Source organism: Homo sapiens, chromosome 5, assembly GCF_000001405.40.
Source record: "Homo sapiens chromosome 5, GRCh38.p14 Primary Assembly".
Lineage (NCBI taxonomy): Eukaryota > Metazoa > Chordata > Mammalia > Primates > Hominidae > Homo > Homo sapiens.
This window is the reverse complement of record NC_000005.10, coordinates 180,325,849-180,344,589: the sequence shown is the minus strand read 5'-3', so window position 1 is coordinate 180,344,589 and position 18,741 is coordinate 180,325,849. Positions and strand designations below refer to the sequence as shown.

General features: G+C 50.0%; 1 protein-coding gene across 1 annotated transcript in view, besides 8 other annotated features; it reads left to right on the top strand.

Moving 5' to 3' along the window:
* The window catches only part of GFPT2 (glutamine-fructose-6-phosphate transaminase 2), a 52,639-nt gene that overhangs the window by 8,747 nt on the left and 25,151 nt on the right, over positions 1–18,741 (top strand). Inside the window, exons 2-7 of the mRNA NM_005110.4 lie at positions 5,990–6,097; positions 8,013–8,111; positions 8,637–8,762; positions 13,037–13,095; positions 13,756–13,890; positions 16,252–16,313. Coding sequence (NP_005101.1) covers positions 5,990–6,097; positions 8,013–8,111; positions 8,637–8,762; positions 13,037–13,095; positions 13,756–13,890; positions 16,252–16,313 — 589 coding nt within the window. The remainder of the gene's footprint in view (positions 1–5,989; positions 6,098–8,012; positions 8,112–8,636; positions 8,763–13,036; positions 13,096–13,755; positions 13,891–16,251; positions 16,314–18,741) is intronic.
* Positions 222–1,139: an enhancer, noted in NCBI's record as "NANOG-H3K27ac-H3K4me1 hESC enhancer chr5:179770451-179771368 (GRCh37/hg19 assembly coordinates)". NCBI's record gives its function as "activates a minimal SCP1, AML or CMV promoter by ChIP-STARR-seq in naive H9 embryonic stem cells {active_cell/tissue: H9 hESC(naive)}" and the evidence as "EXISTENCE:reporter gene assay evidence [ECO:0000049][PMID:30033119]".
* Positions 1,167–1,461: an enhancer, noted in NCBI's record as "tiled region #8548; K562 Activating non-DNase unmatched - State 20:ReprD". NCBI's record gives its function as "activates a minimal TATA promoter and a strong SV40 promoter by Sharpr-MPRA in K562 cells {active_cell/tissue: K562}" and the evidence as "EXISTENCE:reporter gene assay evidence [ECO:0000049][PMID:27701403]".
* Positions 7,362–7,905: an enhancer, noted in NCBI's record as "H3K27ac-H3K4me1 hESC enhancer chr5:179763685-179764228 (GRCh37/hg19 assembly coordinates)". NCBI's record gives its function as "activates a minimal SCP1, AML or CMV promoter by ChIP-STARR-seq in primed H9 embryonic stem cells {active_cell/tissue: H9 hESC(primed)}" and the evidence as "EXISTENCE:reporter gene assay evidence [ECO:0000049][PMID:30033119]".
* Positions 7,906–8,450: an enhancer, noted in NCBI's record as "H3K27ac-H3K4me1 hESC enhancer chr5:179763140-179763684 (GRCh37/hg19 assembly coordinates)". NCBI's record gives its function as "activates a minimal SCP1, AML or CMV promoter by ChIP-STARR-seq in primed H9 embryonic stem cells {active_cell/tissue: H9 hESC(primed)}" and the evidence as "EXISTENCE:reporter gene assay evidence [ECO:0000049][PMID:30033119]".
* Positions 9,810–10,797: an enhancer, noted in NCBI's record as "H3K27ac-H3K4me1 hESC enhancer chr5:179760793-179761780 (GRCh37/hg19 assembly coordinates)". NCBI's record gives its function as "activates a minimal SCP1, AML or CMV promoter by ChIP-STARR-seq in naive H9 embryonic stem cells {active_cell/tissue: H9 hESC(naive)}" and the evidence as "EXISTENCE:reporter gene assay evidence [ECO:0000049][PMID:30033119]".
* Positions 11,786–12,773: an enhancer, noted in NCBI's record as "OCT4-NANOG-H3K27ac hESC enhancer chr5:179758817-179759804 (GRCh37/hg19 assembly coordinates)". NCBI's record gives its function as "activates a minimal SCP1, AML or CMV promoter by ChIP-STARR-seq in primed H9 embryonic stem cells {active_cell/tissue: H9 hESC(primed)}" and the evidence as "EXISTENCE:reporter gene assay evidence [ECO:0000049][PMID:30033119]".
* Positions 13,764–14,751: an enhancer, noted in NCBI's record as "H3K27ac-H3K4me1 hESC enhancer chr5:179756839-179757826 (GRCh37/hg19 assembly coordinates)". NCBI's record gives its function as "activates a minimal SCP1, AML or CMV promoter by ChIP-STARR-seq in naive H9 embryonic stem cells {active_cell/tissue: H9 hESC(naive)}" and the evidence as "EXISTENCE:reporter gene assay evidence [ECO:0000049][PMID:30033119]".
* Positions 14,752–15,741: an enhancer, noted in NCBI's record as "H3K27ac-H3K4me1 hESC enhancer chr5:179755849-179756838 (GRCh37/hg19 assembly coordinates)". NCBI's record gives its function as "activates a minimal SCP1, AML or CMV promoter by ChIP-STARR-seq in naive H9 embryonic stem cells {active_cell/tissue: H9 hESC(naive)}" and the evidence as "EXISTENCE:reporter gene assay evidence [ECO:0000049][PMID:30033119]".

Genomic DNA, 18,741 nt, shown 5'->3' with positions numbered 1-18,741 from the left:
CAGCAGAATGCCTGTGCCACAGGAAATCCAGGTGAACCAGGCAGGTCTGCGTCATGTACACCACTGTCCAAACAGTCGGTCCATGTTAACCCTCAGGCCTTGGCTAGGACATCCCCCTGTGGATAGAATGAAGTCTTTGCTTATTTAGACATTATCTGGCATCTAGATAATGGTGATGTACTCATCACCACCTAATTCACATAGGGGCACATGTGCCATGGCACACGGTGAAATGTCTTAACCATCTAAAGAGGACACGTGCAGTGGAAAGGAAGTTTCTGCTCAACATCCAGTGACCTCAGAGGCTACCTTTGACTGCCCTCTGGGCGTGGTGCCCTTCTAGAAATGCTCCATGCTCCTCCCCCAGCCCTTGCGTAATTTACTCATATTCTGCAAGCTTCTTTTTCCCTTGACACATCTTGGAGATTTAAATTGCCTTCCAAGAGAATGCACAGCTTTCCCTTGCTCTCTGTTGAGGGCTGCCTGTAAAAGGCCCTGCTGTGTGGCTGCACTGTCCCTTGCCTGTCCCTTGCCTGTCGCTTGCCAGACATCAGACTGTCACTAGTCTTTGGCAACCACAAGAGCCCTGAGCAGCTGTCCTCGCACGTGTGCACATGCATCTCTGCAAAAAGTCCGCTGGATACCTTCTTAGAAGCCCAACAGCTCTGGTCCACAGATGTGTACATTTTTAATTTTGAGAGATTGCCAGATTGCTTTCCAAAGAGGGTATGTGAGTTTAAACTCTCACTGTCCAACTGTTTGATCTTTACCGACCTCATGGGTTTAAAAAAGTGGATTCTCACTGTAGCTTTTATTTATGGATGGAAGGAATTCCAAAAGGGAATTCTGATGTAAATAGCAGGAGAAATTCCTGGGAAAGGAGCTTCATTTTATTCTGTGTTTTATTTTTAAATGATAAGAGCACAGCGTGAACGCTATTTTATTCACTTGAGTGCAGTAGAGTGCAGGGAGGATCCAGCCAAGAGGATGAGCTGCAAAAGCAAAGAAACAGAGCTTCCTTCATGAAAGAAGTGACCGAAGGGATGTCACTACGCAAGAGGGCTCGTGGTGAAAATGAGATTTATGCTTTCTTGCGCCAAGATGGTGAAAACCACACTCCTTGGCAGCTTTTCTCACTGCAGTCAGCTCCCCTGCTGTGCCTGAGTGGGCACCGGGCCTCCTGGCTGGGTACGGACACAGCTGGTGGTCCTGAGGACAAGGACCCCTTATGCCCCCGCTGCTGTCCAGGAGGCTGTCGTGGGTCTGAAAGTCAGCGGTGCCTTGCGGAGCGTGCCGAACGTTCTCGCCTGACGTGTGCAGGAGTGAAGTGTGGCTGGGAGGTGGGGGAGCTGCAGGGGGGAGTTGCAGAGCTGACTCATTATGCACTCGGGAACATCATTCAGATGCAAAACCTTTTCAGAGTTGGCAATGGGTACATTTCTGAACCTTTGTGTCATCTGTGATGTCTGTCTGCTTCCCTTAGGGTGGTACAAGTATAATTCTAGAACATTCCCAGCCCAGGATGCCAGGAAAGTTCAGTGTAAAAGACTCTAACAGATTTTATTGAGTTGTTCCCTCCCTCGCTTAACTGTGGTCTTTACATTGACCACAATTTGACCATGTCCCCACAGGGAACTTTCTGGTTGTTGTTTTTTTCTTTCTTTCTTTCTTCCTTTTTTTTTCTTTTTGAGATGGAGTCTCCCTCTGTCACCCAAGCTGGAGTGCAGTGGCGTGATCTCAGCTCACTGCAACCTCTGCCTCCCGAGTTCAAGAGATTCTCCTGCCTCAGCCTCCTGAGTAGCTGGGATTACAGGCACGCACCACCATACCCAGCTAATTTTTCTATTTTTTAAGTTCAGACAGGGTTTCACCATGTTGGCTAGGCTGGTCTTGAGCTCCTGACCTCATGATCTGTCCAGCTTGGCCTCCCAAAGCGCTAGGATTACAGGCGTGAGCCACTGCGCTGGCCTCTGGTTGTTTTTAGAAGAGTTAATGTTATGAAAAGTTTCACCTAGGCTGGGCACTGTGGCTTATGCCTGTAATCCCAGCACTTTGGGAGGCCAAGGCTGTGGGGATAGCTTGGGCCTGGGAGTTCGAGGTTGCAGTGAGCCGAGATCACAACACTGCACTCCAGCCTAGGCAACAGAGCGAGACCCTGTCTCAAAAAAAAAAAAAAAAAAAACATTTCACCTAAACATGAATGGTGATAATTGCACAACTCTGAATATACTAAACCACTGAATCGCATGCTTTAGATGGCAGGCTGCTACGGTACATGACTTATGTCTCCAGAAAGCTGTTAAAATTTTTTAATTGACATTAAAAGATGTATTAGTCCATTTTCATGCTGCTGATAAAGACGTGCCCAAGACTGGGCAATTTACGAAAGAAAGAGGGTTAATGGACTCATAGTTCCACATGGCTGGGGAGGCCTCACAGTCATGGTGGAAGGTGAAAGGCACATCTCACGTGGCGGCAGACAAGAGAAGAGAGTGTGTGCAGGGAAGCTCCCCTTTATAAAACCATCCGATCTCATGAGACTTATTCACTCTCACGAGAACAGCATGGGAAAGAGCCGCCCCCATGATTCATTTACCTCCTTACACGTGGGAATTGTGGGAGCTGCAATTCAAGATGAGATTTGGGTGGGGACACAGCGAAACCATATCAAAAAATAACTATCTTTTTAAAAAATAAGGTGACAAAAGTACCTCCCATGCCCAGATGTTTGGGGGCTGTCGTGTGAGCCTCTGGAACCATAAATACTCAGCAGCAGTGCTGCGCGGCCCTCACTGGGGACACTTTGGCCCTGCCGGAGAAGGGCCTGAACTGCACACACAGCCCATACATTCAGCTCCTCTCACCTGATCTAAAGATGGCAAGGAAGACAAAAATAGCCTACCGAGAAAATTGCCCTTGGCTGATTTTAAAGGAAAACGCCTGTAACTGCTCAGAAAGCATAGTGTACATATTTTTATATATAAATCCCCCACCTTAATACATATGTGCAAACATATCCTGTGTACAGTAGCTTTCAGTAAGAATTTAAGTATAATTTATAGTACTATTTAATTTTATTGCCTATTTTTGACTGTTTATAGATTAATTAAGTTTATATGATGGGACCCCACTCACTGTTTAGGAATATAACATTCATTTCATTGAAGTTTATCATTTATTCAGATGTAGCATATTGACATGAATCTGATCTTCTTAATTACCAGAGATATTCCAGGTGGTTTCGTATATAATCACAATCAGCTGTCTGTTATCTAGGGGCAGGTTGTCCTCTCTGAGGTTCACCTCTGGAAAAATTTCAATCCTGATCAGACCTTTCTCTCATCCCAGCAAAACATAGTTGGGAAAATAAACCTTCTTGTAACCCTCGTGGCATCCATCCCGGGGTACTGGCCAGTGGGTAGGAGTGTTTAAGTCCTGAGTCGGGGATTCTTGGTTCCACTCTGGCTCTGGACGAGTCACAGGCTCCCCTGTGGCTCTGGTCCAGAAGTTAAGAGGAGGGCCATGGACTAGCCTCAGAGGCTGTTTTGAGCATAGGATGACCCTGTGGGAACTGGTGGCCCAGTGCCCGGCCCACAGGGACTTCTCAGTGAGGCGAGTCGCTGTTGTGGCCTGAGAGTTTGTTCCCCCGTCATTCATCTGTTGAAATCCTCAGCTGCATGGTGGTCTTACTAGGAGGTGGGGCCTTGGGGAGGCGATTAGGTCATAGGGACATGGGCCTCACGAATGGGATGAGTGCCCTTATTTAAAAACTGCGGAGCCAGGCGTGGTGGCTCACGCCTGTAATCCCAGCACTTTGGGAGGCGGAGGTGGGCAGATCATGAGGTCAGGAGATTGAGACCATCCTGGCTAACATGGTGAAACCCCATCTCTACTAAAAATACAAAAAAAAATTAGCTGGGCATGGTGTCGGGCACCTGTAGTCCCAGCTACTCGGGAGGCTGAGGCAGGAGAATAGTGTGAACCTGGGAGGCGGAGCTTGCAGTGAGCCAGGATGGCACCACTGCACTCCAGCCTGGGCAACAGAGCTAGACTCCGTCTCAAAAAAAAAAAAAAAAAACCTGCAGGCCAGGCAGGGTGGCTCACGCCTGTAATCCCAGCACTTTGGGAAGCCGAGGCGGGCGGATGACCTGAGGTCGGGAGTTCGAGACCAGCCTGGCCAACATGGAGAAACCCCATCTCTACTAAAAATACAAAATTAGCCAGGTGTGGTGGCACATGCCTGTAATCCCAGCTACTCGGGAGGCTGAGGCAAGAGAATCGCTTGAACCCGGGAGGCGGAGGTTGCCATGAGCCAAGATCGTGCCATTGCACTCCAGCCTGGGCAACAAGAATGAAACTCTGTCTCAAAAAAGAAAAACAACAAAAACAAAAACAAAAAAAAAAACCTCCAGAGAGACCCTGGCCCCTTCCACCGTATGAGGTTGGAATGAGCAGTCACTGTCTGTGAGGAACGGGCCCTCACCAGACACTGAATCTCTGGCACCTTGATCTTGGACTTCTCGGCCTCCAGAACTGTGAGAATAAACATCTGTGGCTTATAACCCAGGCAGTCTGTGGTATTTTGTTACAGCAGCCCAAGCCAACTTAGGACAGTTACCGTGAATATGCCTGAAACCCAGTGACATTTCTATGACCCATACTATTGCCTCCCTCCAGGGATACAGATACACACTCATCACATATTCTGTTCCACATGTGAACAGGACTGGGTGCCAACACACAGTGAGGAATACAAAGATAGAAGCACCAGCCTGTGCCCTTGGTGGGGACTGTGGGTGTCCCATGACGTGAGAGCACTGAGGTGGCCAGAGCCAGGAGCACACCTGCCCAGGGCGGGGGCTGGAGCTGAGCTTTGAAGTGGGCAGGTTTTCCTGAGCAGTGGGAGCGAGGATGAAAGGACAGAGGGATGATGGGATGAGGATGGGGCATGCACAGGGCAGGAGAGAGGACATCAAGGATCTGTCATCACAAACAAGGAGTGGAGGAATCTGGAAGGCAGAACCAACACAACGGCTAACTTTCTGTTTGGAAAATTATCTTGAAATATGAATACAGAAAGTCAAGTGGAACAAAATCTTCTTGACTCATAGGCCTACCTTGAACATAAGGATTCTGCAGGGGCCAAGGGGCATGAGATGGTTTTATTCTTGCTGTCATAAAAGTAGTGCTTTTTTTTTTTTTTTTTTTTTTGAGACAGAGTCTAGCTCTGTCGCCAGGCTGGAGTGCTGTGGCACGATCTCGGCTCACTGCAACCTCCAGCTCCCTGGTTCAAGCAATTCTCCTGCCCCAGCCTCCCGAGTAGCTGGGGTTAGAGGCACACACCACCACACCCAGCTAATTTTTGCATTTTTAGTAGAGATGGGGTTTCACCATGTTGGCCAGGCTGGTCTCGAACTCCTGACCTCAGGTGATCCACCCACCTCGGCCTCCCAAAGGGCTGGGATTACAGGCATGAGCCACCGCCCCCGGCTCAAGTAGTGCTTATTTAAGGTCAAGTTCCAGCCTTACGGAGAAGGGGACCGTGGAAGCAAAGGCCCCAGCGCCTGTCCCATCTGCCCTGGGGGCTGCTGTCCCTTTCTATGGCACTCCTAGATGTGTGCTCTGCAAATCAGGGAGTGCATGGAGGTGGGGACTTCCGGATGTCCTAAGGCGGTTGGATTTCATTGCTGCCTTTTCTATTATGGACATTGCCACGCTGAAAGCTGCCTCCTGCAAGTACAGCATAGGATAAGTTCTCAGCAGTGGAACTGCCAGCCCAAGACATGTGACACAGGCTTTCTGGGGGTTTTTGTCACAGGAGGAAGAAGGGGTGCACCGTTCTTCAGCTGTGCTCAGGGAGGGGCATACCCACCTCTGCAAGCCCCTGGGAGACCTTTGTGATGCCACCTCGGTGCATCCCCCAGAAGCGTTTTCTTCCAAACACGAGCTGAGTATTTTATGAATGCACCATTTTTTTCTCTTTGAACAGGAATCTTTGCCTACATGAACTACAGAGTCCCCCGGACGAGGAAGGAGATCTTCGAAACCCTCATCAAGGGCCTGCAGCGGCTGGAGTACAGAGGCTACGACTCGGCAGGTGGGTGTGCGGCCGCCCGCCTCGTGGCTGGGGACCGGGCTCCGCTGCTGTGGTCTCACCCATCTCCACTGCAGGGGGGTTTACAACCAGGGCATTTTTTCTGCTACTTTTTAACGTCTCTTTTCAATATAAAAATAACACTTGTCCGTTAAAGAAATTCGAAAACTATGGAAAAATAGAAGAAGCAAGGGTAAAAAACCCCAGAAAACCCCCTTCATCAGAAGTCCCCCCATCAGGAAGCAGAAAGGGTACAAAGCCACAGTCATGCAGCATGAGTAAGTCCTGGACAGCTGCTCTGCCGTGCGGTGCCTGACTTGAGCAACACTGTATTTTGCACATAAAAATTTGCCAAAAGGGTAGATTTTCATATTTTTATTTTTATTTTTGTTACTCAGGCTGGAGTGCAGTTCCAAGAAATTGGCTCACTGCAGCCTCAAGCTCCTGGGCTCAGGCGACCCTCAGCCTCCTCAGCATCTGGGACTACAGGCGTGCACCACCACACCCGGCTAATTTTTTATTTTTTGTAGAGATGAGGTCTCACTGTGCTGCCCGGCGTAGCCCCAAGCGATCCTCCTGCCTTTGCCTCCCAAAGCACTGAGATTGTAGGTGTGAGCCAGTGAGCCCAGCCAAGAGGGTAGAGCTTATGCTAAGTCCTCTTATCACACACAGAACAATACATAAAGAGGGCAGGAGCAGACTCTCGGAGGTGATAGGTTGATGGCATAGACGGCAGTGGTGGTTTCATGGGGGCACACGTGCCTCCAAGCTCATCGAGTTGTAGACATTAAGTATGCGCAGCGTTGTGTTTGTCAGCCCTGCCTCAGTGAGGTGGCTTCATTAAAAAAGGAGCCCCCATCAGTCTTTGGGACCCTTCTCCGGTCGCTGTTGTCTGTGGGGGTGGTCTGTGGTGGAGGTGTTGTACGTTGATATTTTTTGTTTTTACCTAATTATAATTATGCAATTTTGTAATTTTATATTCTTCTCTTTTCACTTGGCATTTCTAGGATCCTAAACTCATTCATTCTTTTTTTTTTTTTTTCGAGATGGAGTCTCGCTCTGTCACCCAGGCTGAAGTGCAGTGGCGCGATCTCAGCTCACTGCAAGCTCCGCCTCCTGGGTTCACGCCATTCTTCTGCCTCAGCCTCCCGAGTAGCTGGGACTACAGGCGCCCACCACCACACCCTGCTAATTTTTGTACTTTTAGTAGAGACGGGGTTTCACCGTGTTGACCAGGATGGTCTCAATCTCTTGACCTTGTGATCCACCCGCCCTGGCCTCCCAAAGTGCTGGGATTACAGGCGTGAGCCACCGCACCCGGCCGATCCTAAACTCTTTCTAAGTAGCTTTCTAAGTGGCTACACAATGCTCCGCTGGGTGGCTGTCCCAGAGTTCAGGCCTCCATTCACTGCAAAGGTGGATGTTTAGTCTGTTGACCTTGTTTAATTATGCAGCCTGAGGAGAAAGGGGGAGCCCGATGGTTTTAAATCCTTGTCGACTCTTAATAGGAAGCACGTCCGATAGACGACGGGAGGAACACTAACGCAGTGGAGATACCAACGAAATATCACAATGCGAGGAGCCCTTGGGATAAATGCCCTGCCTGGGCCCATTGCCATCAGCCGAGGGCCTGGGAGCGCCTGCAGCGGGGAAGTGTCCCGAGGGGCTCACCCTAGCTAGGCAGGAGCAGGGCTGGGGGCAGCTGCGGCCTGGAGGAGGCAGGGGCTTCCTCACTTGCTGTTAAGCCTGGCCGCAGTCACAGCCTCTTTCAGAGCAGATTTCCTGAAAACTGTACAGCTCTCCAACCTGCCATAAACGGACAGCCCGGGGCATGCAGCCCTGACCCTGCGGAGCACCTGTGCCAAGTGTGTGAGAAAAAGCTTTGGTTGCAATATAACAAATGCTGTCTACATCACAGGTGTGGCGATCGATGGGAATAATCACGAAGTCAAAGAAAGACACATTCAGCTGGTCAAGAAAAGGGGGAAAGTCAAGGCTCTCGATGAAGAACTTTACAGTAAGTGGAGGACCTCTGAGTGGGAGGAGCCGCTGCAGCGCCGGCCGCTTTCTAGGACCGTATTCCAACAGCGCCGGAGAATGGAGATTCTCCTTTGTCCCAGCTCAGATAAACAGAGGGAGGGCTAAGCCCGTGCTGTAAAACCGGGCTTCGCAGGGTATGGGATGGTTTATTTTAGGTGGTGGCGGCGCATGGATAATTTTTTTAAGTGTGAAGGGTTACATACAGTAGTTATTTTAATTATTCCAGCAAATGATACTGCTTCTCTGTTTATGGTAGGGATATATCATTTTCTTTTTAAAGCAAGTTTATTTCTGTGAAGAAGTGAGCTAAGCTACAGACAAGTAGTAAATAACCTTCAGCACGGGTGGTTTGTGGGCCTGCGCGGACTCCCAGGGTGGGAGCTGGTGGGGAGGTGCCATCGGTGTGGGTGACGTGACTTGGGTAACGACACCAGGTTGCACTCACAGTCCTGGGTCGAGGCTTGTTGTTCAAGTGCGGCAAACTGATTTTCCTTTCATTTAGAACAAGACAGCATGGACTTAAAAGTGGAGTTTGAGACACACTTCGGCATTGCCCACACGCGCTGGGCCACCCACGGGGTCCCCAGTGCTGTCAACAGCCACCCTCAGCGCTCAGACAAAGGCAACGGTATGTGGCATGCTTCCCCGTCCCCATGGTTCCACCTCACCCTGAGCTGTGTCAGGGCCAGTGCCCGCCAAAGCAGGTTCCGCGCCCACCTCTAACTGACTTCTCAGCCTACTTCATCTTCCCAAGAGAATGCGGATGTCCCCTCTCCCAGAGCTCTGCCAGTGGCCTGGGCCTCAGTCAGGAGGCAGGCAGCCTGGTCCTAGGGTGGTGCTGGCCTCCCAGGAGTGCACAGGAAAACGATGGCACTTAACCAGGAGAGCTGCTGGCTCCTTGGAACCCAGCCCATGAGTGGGATGAGGCCGCGTGAGGGACTGAGGGGCCTGGGCACTGTTCCTCCCCAAGTGACGGAAATGCTGCAGAAGGGTGTACCCTTCAGGCAAGGATGGGTTCTGTCCTTATGCAGCTAAACCTGTCTTTTCCCCACAGAGTGGTCCAGGTGAGGGCAGGGGCTGTACTGGTCTTGATTGGTGCCACCAGACACACCGTGGGCCCCAGCGGGAGACCTCAGCAGCCAGGGGCTTAGGGTTTGGAGAAGTAGGGGCCGCAGCCCGAAGCCCAGGGGCTCTTCCCAGGTGGAGAGCCCTCAACTCAGCTTGCTTCATGTTCTTAAAAGTTGAGAACCACTGTGCATAAAAGTCCAGACTTCTGGCATCACTTGAAAAACTGGAGGATCTGGAAACACTGAGCTGACAGCACGTTGGAGCACCACAGATTGGCAGAGGGCCAAGGTTGCTGCACCTGCTGTCCTTGGTGGGTTTCAGGCTCTCCTGTTCGCCCAGTCACCCCCTCAGGCCAGCTCACAGGTCTGTGTCACTTGCATGGGTCGCCAGGACAGTTCTCCACGCGTGATTCTCTTAAATGACACCCTTGCCCCCTCTCATGGGGGAAAGACTGGTAGGTCTGCAGCTCCTGGTGGCAGTTCTCAGGGGTCTGTGGTCAGCCCCAGGGCGCCGGGTCCCCTGCAGTGGGATGCAGTAGGCATGGAGCAGAAGAGAGGATCTAATCCCTGTCTCCTCCCAGGCCTCCAAGGGCAGGCAGGAGTCTAAGACATAAGCTGGGCCTTCCAGGGGGTCCCCCACTCTAGGTGAGGCCTGGTCCAGTCACGAGCCCCTGAAGCCCCCAACCTGGACATGCCAGGGGAGGGTGTACAGCAAAGACAGTGATTTCTGAAGTCAACTGGACCCCCCAACCCAAGACATCCTCTGGCATAGTGTAAGTTCGTGCCAAGCCTAATGTTAGATAGGACCAAATACATCAGAGCAGTTACTGGGAGCTTATTAGCAGGCACTAAGCCTTGACACTTGACAAGTCCCACTGCGGTTAATCCTTGTGGAAGTCAGGCCACAGGAGAGCAGCACCAGCCTGCTTGGTGTCCCCCACCCACTGCTGATCAGTGGTTCTCCGAGGCAGTGTAACTGGGCGGGATGGGCAGGCACCCCCACCACCCACAGAAAGTGCAGTGGTGCTGCTTCTCCCCAGAGCACTCTGCAGGGCCTCACCAGCTCACCCCGCCCAATTTGGAAGGGAAGGCGTCCCCCAGAAAACGGAAGGAGAGCCCCATCCACCCTGCTCAGCAGAGCAGCTTGGTGGTAGCACAGGAGCCAGGGCTACTCATGCATCCTAGTGATCAGGGTCTTGAGGGAGTGAGGTTTTTGCGAGGGCCTCTTCCTTGGGTCTGGCTCATGCCCTGAACCATAGGGCATTTCGTGACTGAGGCACACACCCTATGTCCAGGAGGAGGACAGCAGACCCCATGGTGCTGAGGACCTAGAATGTACATCTGGCCAGAGCCCAGGTCAAGTGCAGAAGCTGGTCCCTGGGGCAGTCGTGCTGGCCGAGAAAACACTGCGCCCAGACCATGTGCCCTGAGATGTTGCCACTTTAGCCACAGCCTCCTGCCCTTCCCAGTGATAAAATGAACCTCATTGGAAAATCCCCCACTTCAGTGTAGATGATGATTCTCATTGTGTCCCCAAAGCAGGGAGGCTCCCAGGAGGCCCACCCACACCCAAACTTGGACACTCCAGCCCTGACTCAGGATGAGTAATTGAAAAGAAAACAACAGGACAATAAGCAAAGATTTATAAAATTTCTTTGACACTCAGCAGTGATAGCTGAAGAGCATGCTTTTAAGGAAGTCTGAACGCCCAGCAACTATACCACACAAGGAAATTACACAAAGATTCTGCAGAGACAACATGGATTCCAGAAAACAAATTAATGATAGGATCATAGACTGAGATGAAAGAAAGTGTAGCAGAATTAAGAGAATAATGTAAAGAAACAATATCACCGGCCAGGCATGGTGGCTCACGCCTGTAATCCCAGCACTTTGGGAGGCCGAGGCGGGCGGACCATGAGGTCGGGAGATCGAGACCATCCTGGCTAACACGGTGAAACCCCATCTCTACTAAAAATACAAAAAATTAGCCAGGCATGGTGGCGGGTGCCTGTGGTCCCAGCTACTCGGGAGGCGGAGGCAGGAGAATGGCGTGAACCTGGGAGGCGGAGCTTGCAGTGAGCCGAGCTCGCGCCACTGCACTCCAGCCTGGGCGACAGAGTGAGACTCCATCTCAGAAAAAAAAAAAGAAAGAAAAAGAAACAATATCACCATAGATATAAAAAAATGGAGAAGGGGATGGACGTGGAGCCAGTTAATATGGATCCAACATATGGGTAACTGGTGTGCACAAGAAGCGATCAGAGCACAGAGCAGTAAAAAATAAATAAATAAATACATAAAAAATAAAGCTGAGCTGTGGTCAGCACATCTGTTGAAACTGGGCTTTTCTTATTTAAGCCCTCCCATTTTTGGGTGTGACCTCACAAAAACAAACACTACAATTTTTTTAAATAGAGGAAATCATGGTGAGAATAAAGAAAAAGAATAATGGAAAAGATTTCAAAAGATGCTGTGGGAGAAATCTTTCCCGAACTGAAGGAAAACTTGAGTTGGATATCCAAAGAAGGGATCAAAAATAGTCAATAGACCAGGCACAGTGGCTCAAGCCTATAATCCCAGCACTTTGGGAGGCCAAGGTGGGTGGATCGCCTGAGGTCAGGAGTTCGAGACCAGCCTGGCTAACATGGTGAAACCCTGTCTCTACTAAAAAAATACAAAAATTAGCCGGGTGTGGTGGCGAGCACCTGCAATTCCAGCTACTTGGGAGGCTGAGGCAGGAGAATCGCTTGAACCCGGGAGGCAGCAGTCGTGGTGAGCCAAGGTCACGCCACTGCACTCCAGCCTGGGCAACAGAGTGAGATTCTGTCTCAAAATAATAATGGTAATAATAAAAACAAATAAGACTTCACAGTGATGCTTTGAAAAAAATAGTCAATATTTATGAAGCGTATCCCACATCTAGACACCTCCTGGTGGAATTATTGAACCTCAAGGGTAATAGGGAATCTTTCTGTCCTCTAGGGGGAGAGGGAAACGGAGCTACTTGCCCAGAAAAATTCTCAGGCTGGCCTTGGATCTTTCCCTCAAGGCACTCATATGCGGGCTATTCATTGAGAAAATGCAGTGGGGTGGAGGCAGACATCCCTCACCGCATCCCCCGCATCCCCCTGCTCCCCCCGCCCCCCCGCCACCTCCCCGCCAGGATCAGCGGGGTGCTACCTGTGCAGGAAGCCGCCCGCGTGAGCTGGGTTGTGCGGCAGGAACTGGGGAGGTGGGAAAAGCTGCAGCTGGCAGATCCTGCTGTGCAGGAATGTGGCTGAGCCTGGGGATGCCAGAACTTCTGGGATTTTTCCCCCAAGGAAACCAGGATTTTAAAGTGAACACTCAGAATTTTAAAAACTCAAATATTTTTACAACACAGTGTGGGTCAAACACAGCACGGTGCTGGACTGTTCTTTGCGACCTCTTTGTGCCTAAAGCCAGTTGAGAGTGCCTGGAATCACTTCTGGAACGAAGGGCTCATCATCCCCGTGGGACATGAACCCCAAAGCCTGTTTGATACTATAATAGCGCACAGGGGAGAGCTCTCTGCACGGTCAGGCTGGTGGCTGCTGGTCACTGAAAGAGGGATGTGTATTTCCTCCGGATCCCATTGTAGTAGCCGCTGCCCTAGACATCCCTGGTGCTAATCCCTGGTTCCACTGTAGTTGCTGCCGTAAACATCTGTGCTAATCACTGTAAACAAAGTGTGCTTAACAGAAGTCTTGAGGCCTGGAGTTTGCAGAGAGTTCTCAAGCCTTGAAATCATCTCTCTTCACATCTGACATGAACCTCCTTCTCAATAGCATTTCTCTCTTAACTTTTCTTTCAGAATTTGTTGTCATCCACAATGGGATCATCACAAATTACAAAGATCTGAGGAAATTTCTGGTAAGATGCTTCCCCTAGGTGATGTCTCAGTCCGGTGGGATTGGTCTCCCCAGAAACTTTCCAGCCAGCTCATTTCCTTGCGGAAACCAGTGTGGGAACTGAGTGAGACCCACACTCAGCCACGTCACCGTGTTGAGAAGAAACCTCTGCCTTGGCTGAGCCAGGCCCTGCAGATCTCGTTTGAGGAGATAACAGGGCATTAGTGTTTATCTCAAGGGCCACTGCAGATTCCCAGAATCAAAATAACAGGAGCTTCGTTTTATTAAACTGTCTGCATTATATAACACAGCGACTCGTATACCGGCGGAGTTGGGACGGAAAGTCAGACAGTGACTGTCTGAAGTTTGAAAGGCTCTGTGGTGTTAGTTGGGATGTGGGTGGGTTTGACTCAACGTATTTTATCATTTTGACTGCTGTTATTTTGCAATGTCCAGATTAGTGGCAAGGGTGAGCTTCTGAGGTGGGATGATCTCAGGGCCTCCGGGAGTGACTCAGAGGTATTTGGCTGTGATGCTGGCAAACATTTTTCCCCCCTTCCCGGTTTTCCCTGTTCTTGACTTAAGTCACTCCAAGGGCAGATCACCAGGGAGGAGAGGGAGTTGGCCAGGCAGGCATTGTGCAATGACCAATCTCTCACACTGTGCCGACTGCATATTCCAGGAAAGCAAAGGCTACGAGTTTGAGTCAGAAACAGATACAGAGACCATCGCCAAGCTGATTAAATATGTGTTCGACAACAGAGAAACTGAGGACATTACGTTTTCAACGTTGGTCGAGAGAGTCATTCAGCAGTTGGTGAGTTACAAATCCCATCTGTCTAACTCATTCCTTCATTCTTTCATTAAAAACATTTTTTTCAAGCAGCAAGTGCCAAGGAATCCTTCATTTTTTATAAGCCCTTGTTAGACAAACTTGCACAGAGTCCTGGGGATAAAAGACAGCCCATCTGCAGAGCCTGGCCTTAAGATGTTACACTCTTGTAGAACTGGAAGACGTTCTGTGGTTTGGGTAGTCAACATCAAATAGAAAGTGCCCTGCTTCATCGTGACACTTCTGAAATTGTGACTGGCATTAGAGTCCGTGGCTTTTTATGATGCACACGTGAGCTTGGTGGTGGTGTGCAGAGAGAGTTGTGGTACCAAGCGAGGATGTGTTTCTAGGTTTTTCTTTTTTGAGACAGAGTCTCACTCTGTTGCACAGGCTGGAGTGCAGTGGTGTGATCTTGGCTCACTGCAACCTCCACCTCCCAGGTTCAGGCAGTCCTCCTGCCTCAGCCTCCTGAGTTAGCTGAGACTACAGGCACGCACCACCACACCTGGCTAATTTTTGTACTTTTAGTAGAGACAGGGTTTCACTATGTTGACCAGGCTGGTCTCGAACTCCTGACTTTAAGTGATCCACCTGCCTTGGCCTCCCAAAATGCTGGGATTTACAGGCGTGAGCCACTGTGCCTGGCCTGTTTTTGTGATAGGTGATATCACAGCATGTCTGTATGTGGAACGGAATGGCCCAAAAGAGGGAGAGAGGGAGAGAGATTGGGGACATCCCAGAGGACAGGGCCCAGGGAGAAGAAGTCCCTGAGAAGGGAGCACACACTGGGCGTATTGTCCAAGGGGAGGCCCCTACACTGAGGAGGAGGTGGAGCAGACACAGGCCCATGCAGGGTGCGGGAGGACGAGAGGGGTCCGGGCCTCTCAGAGCCCATCCTGTCAGACAGCAGTGCCACCCAGTAGCTCCCCCAGGGCTGTGGCAGCCTGGACACTGGCCCAGAGTCCAGAACATCTGGCAGGCACCATCCTGTAGTGTAAAATACATCATTCTTGAGCAGGTGTTTTCAGAGTCTGATTTAAAAAGTAAGTCTACTGTTGAAGCCTTTTTGTCCTCTAACTCCCGTTTTTGGAGGTCCATCATTTAGAGGACGTGTTTATAAAAAACAGCCTATCCCACATTTAATGTGCTGGATAAGGTACAGTGAGCCAATTAGGTATTACAGCATGCTGTTTCTTCTTTTCCATTTTTATTTTGAAATTTCAGAAATACCTCTCTCATAATGACACTTTTAAACTTAAGACTTTTCCTACCTGGGACAGTACCGGGCTCTTTTTGGCAGAGAACGTGCAGTGTTTTTCCATTCAGTCCTATTTTATTGTTGACAAAAGCACCAGGGTCTGCCTGAAGCCCCCTGGTTTGGGGCAGTTTGAAAGCCCCAATGAGGCCTGGGGACGGTGACTCAGGTTCCTGGCCCTGTAGCTGAGTTGGCAACCTGGACCCGACACGCTGACCACCCGGGGCCTGGGGCTGCCCGTGGCTTCCACACTTGGAGGATTTCTTGTGGAAATTCAGATTTGCAGCTGGTTATATATAACTGAGCTCTGCTAGGGTTGCGGTAAGTTAGTACAGGATGGTCAGGACGTGGGGGAAGAATTTACACCAAGAATTTAAGTCAAAAAACCATCTGGCCTCTTGTGTTAGGAGAGCTGGATTCTAGTTCTGGCTTTGCACAAACCAACCAGCTGAGGCCCAGAGGGCAGGTGGCAGTCGTATCCATGGAAAGGATAATAGCAGTAACGGTCATGACAACCTGTGCTTCTCTTGGGTCTCCGGATGCCAGGCTCAGTGCATTAGCTTATCATCGTCACGGAAGCCCCGCCAGGTGGCGCTGTTCTCACTTCCTTCACCGATGAGGAGAACGAGGCGCCAAGAAGGCTAAAGGGAGAGCCCAGTGCAGGGGTGGAGCCAGGATTTGAACCCAGGCCCTACCGTGTGTTGAGCTAAAGTGCACTTCACAGGGGCTTGCTGAGTAGGTGCTGTCCCTGAGCAGGGCAGGGAAGCCTGGTCCCAGCTATCATTTCCTGTGACTCTCACTGCCCCGTCTACCCAGCTGGCACCCCTGCCGGGCTCCCTGTGGGCCTGGGCAAGCCGCACATCGCTCACCGTGGAATTCACATGTTCTGGTTTGTGGTACTTCCCGTGGCACCGTCTGTTTTGCTTTCCCTCGTGATGTCACCCCGGATGCGCTGTTCTGCACTCAGCTCCCCGAGGGACCCCAGGACCTCCCGCCATCAGGAGGGGCCCAGGGAGACGCACCTGGGCTGTGGCCAGGCTGCAGCAGCGGCTGCTGGAACGCGTTGACCCTCACTGTTTGTGTGTTTTCAGGAAGGTGCATTCGCGCTGGTTTTCAAGAGTGTCCACTACCCAGGAGAAGCCGTTGCCACACGGTGAGGCAAAACACACTGGCATTTCCCATAAGAAAGAACGAAAATAAAATCACTTAGCTGGAGGGAGACGGGAGAGGTAGGGCCTGTGGCACGCTGAAAGGTGCTCGTGGTGTCTAAAGAACAACTGTGGCTCAGCCCCGGGGACCGCGCCCCACCATCTCCATGGCTGGTGGTGCTACACTTCTGAATTAAAAAAAAAAAAAAAGAAACCAGAAAGTTGGATTTGTGTTTGAAATCTCCACAGATTTTTAGAGGTGGGCAACAAATTCCAGTTATAAATAAAATCGTACAGACAGGGCAGATCCAGGTTTTGTGGGGCTTGAAGCCTGTACAATGTGGGCCCCCCTTTAAGAAAAAGCAAAATTATGAACATGAAACTAGGGAGCAAAGTGAATATTGATTTGGATCCAGTACAGCAGAGGCCTTGAAGGCCCGGGGCTCAAGCTTCACCTTCACAAAGGAGCATGCCAGGAATCGGCTCAGAGAGCCTGCTTGCCCCAATGTGTCCCTCTGTTACGGTGGGCCCCCAGTGCTGCATGGATTTACAGAAGCAGGTTAAGTGCCATCCTGTTTATATTCACATAGGTTGATCATCCATCCAACCATGCAACTAATATTTACTGTGCACTTACTGTGTGCTGGGCCCTGGGGACTTAGTGACATCTGACCTGGTCCCTGCCTTGAAGGGCTGAACAGTTGTACAGGAGGGCAGAGAAGGGCAGAGGATAGTGATGCCCTGTGCCCGGCCCCAGCACAGGATATCACCTTACCTGGCAGGGGGGCAATGGCAGGTAGCCCCAGGCAGGCAGTGGGAAGAGGAACCAGCATGAGCAAAGGCAAGGGGCCCAGAGGGAGTGGGACCTCCCAGGATCCCCGTTGGCAAGGTGGGGGCATGGTGCAAGGGCATTGGTGGGACGGAGGCGTTCTAGGCCCAGTGTGTGTTTACTGACACCTGCTGTGTGCCAGGCATGGGAGACAGTGGTGAGCAAGGTGGTATGGACACTGCTCCAGGGCCTCAAAGGCTGTGGGGAGTGGAGAGGCGGACAGAGGCCGGCTCTAAATGGCCTCAGTGCCCTGTGGGCTGCGGGCTTCATCTGAAGCCCCAGGGGAGCCATCTGGAATGAACCTGTGGCCTGGGAGACGGCCGGAGAGGGTGAGGCTGTCTCTTCCAGACTGGCGTAGTATCTCAGCAGGAAACAACAGGAATTTATCATCATTTTTTTTAACCTTTTCTAAAACTGGAACTAATTTGCCATTTGGAATTTAATTCCTTCAATTCATAGAATTATAAAATACCAGTTGGTTCCTATCAAATTTAGAAGCCCTTTTTAAAATCCAATTTTATCATGATTTACTATTTTAAATGAACTCAGAAGAAGGCAGCGTGAAGAAGCAATAAAGCTTTATTTTTCTAAATTGCCTATAACTGAGGGCTCTATAACCTGCAGTACAATCTTCGGGTTGTCTTGGGAGAATTATATGTCTCAAGGTCTAGAGAAACCACAGAGCTCAACCTACAGCAATAAAATTTGGGGGAGTCATTTGCCAAGAAAATTAGATATCCACCTACTTTCTCACTGCCATTATTATAAACTATTTATGCTAGTTCCCCACTGGCCCCAGAACTATGTCTCAGATTTGCTTTACACAATAAATGATTAAAATATTCAAGGTGTTCATAGCACCTTCCTCAAAGCCCCAGACTTTGTCCCCCGCTTTGAGAAGCCATAAGTGGGGTCCAAACAGGCCAACGTGACTGGAAAACAAGGTCTGTTATTGTTGAAGAAAAATTTAGGAACTGCATTGAGTCAGGCTAACAGATTATGGATATATGTGGACTGGATTCAAGCCGATGAGCAAGCACTTCATTAGTTCATTGATCTAAGTTAGCAAGAAATCACCTAAGGTAAAATGTTACTGGATTGTATTCCAATTCATGTGTTTGAAACAGCTCTCTTAAATTGTCTTATTACAGTGTTCGTCGGTGTTTTCTTCTTATTAATAAATTAATGTGTAGAGGGGAAAGGCACACATCCTTTCGTAACTACTGCACTTTTACCTGCCTGGTTTTGAAGAACCGCAGGTTTAGAGCGCATGTGTTACCAGAGTGAGCCTCTTATTTCTGTGCACACCTATGGTAGATTTTATTTGCATGCTATAATTTATAAGAATGAGCAAAGGATTAGATTTTGGAATCAGGATATCATTTAAATCATGAGATCCTTTTATTTATTTATTTATTTATTTATTTAGAGATGGAGTCTCGCTTTGTCGCCCAAGCTGGAGTGCAGTGGCACGATCTCGGCTCATTGCAACCTCCGCCTCCCGGGTTCAAGTGATTCTCTTGTCTCAGCCTCCAGAGTAGCTGGGATTACAGGCACCCCCCACCATGCCCAGCTAATTTTTGTATTTTTAGTAGAGACAGGGT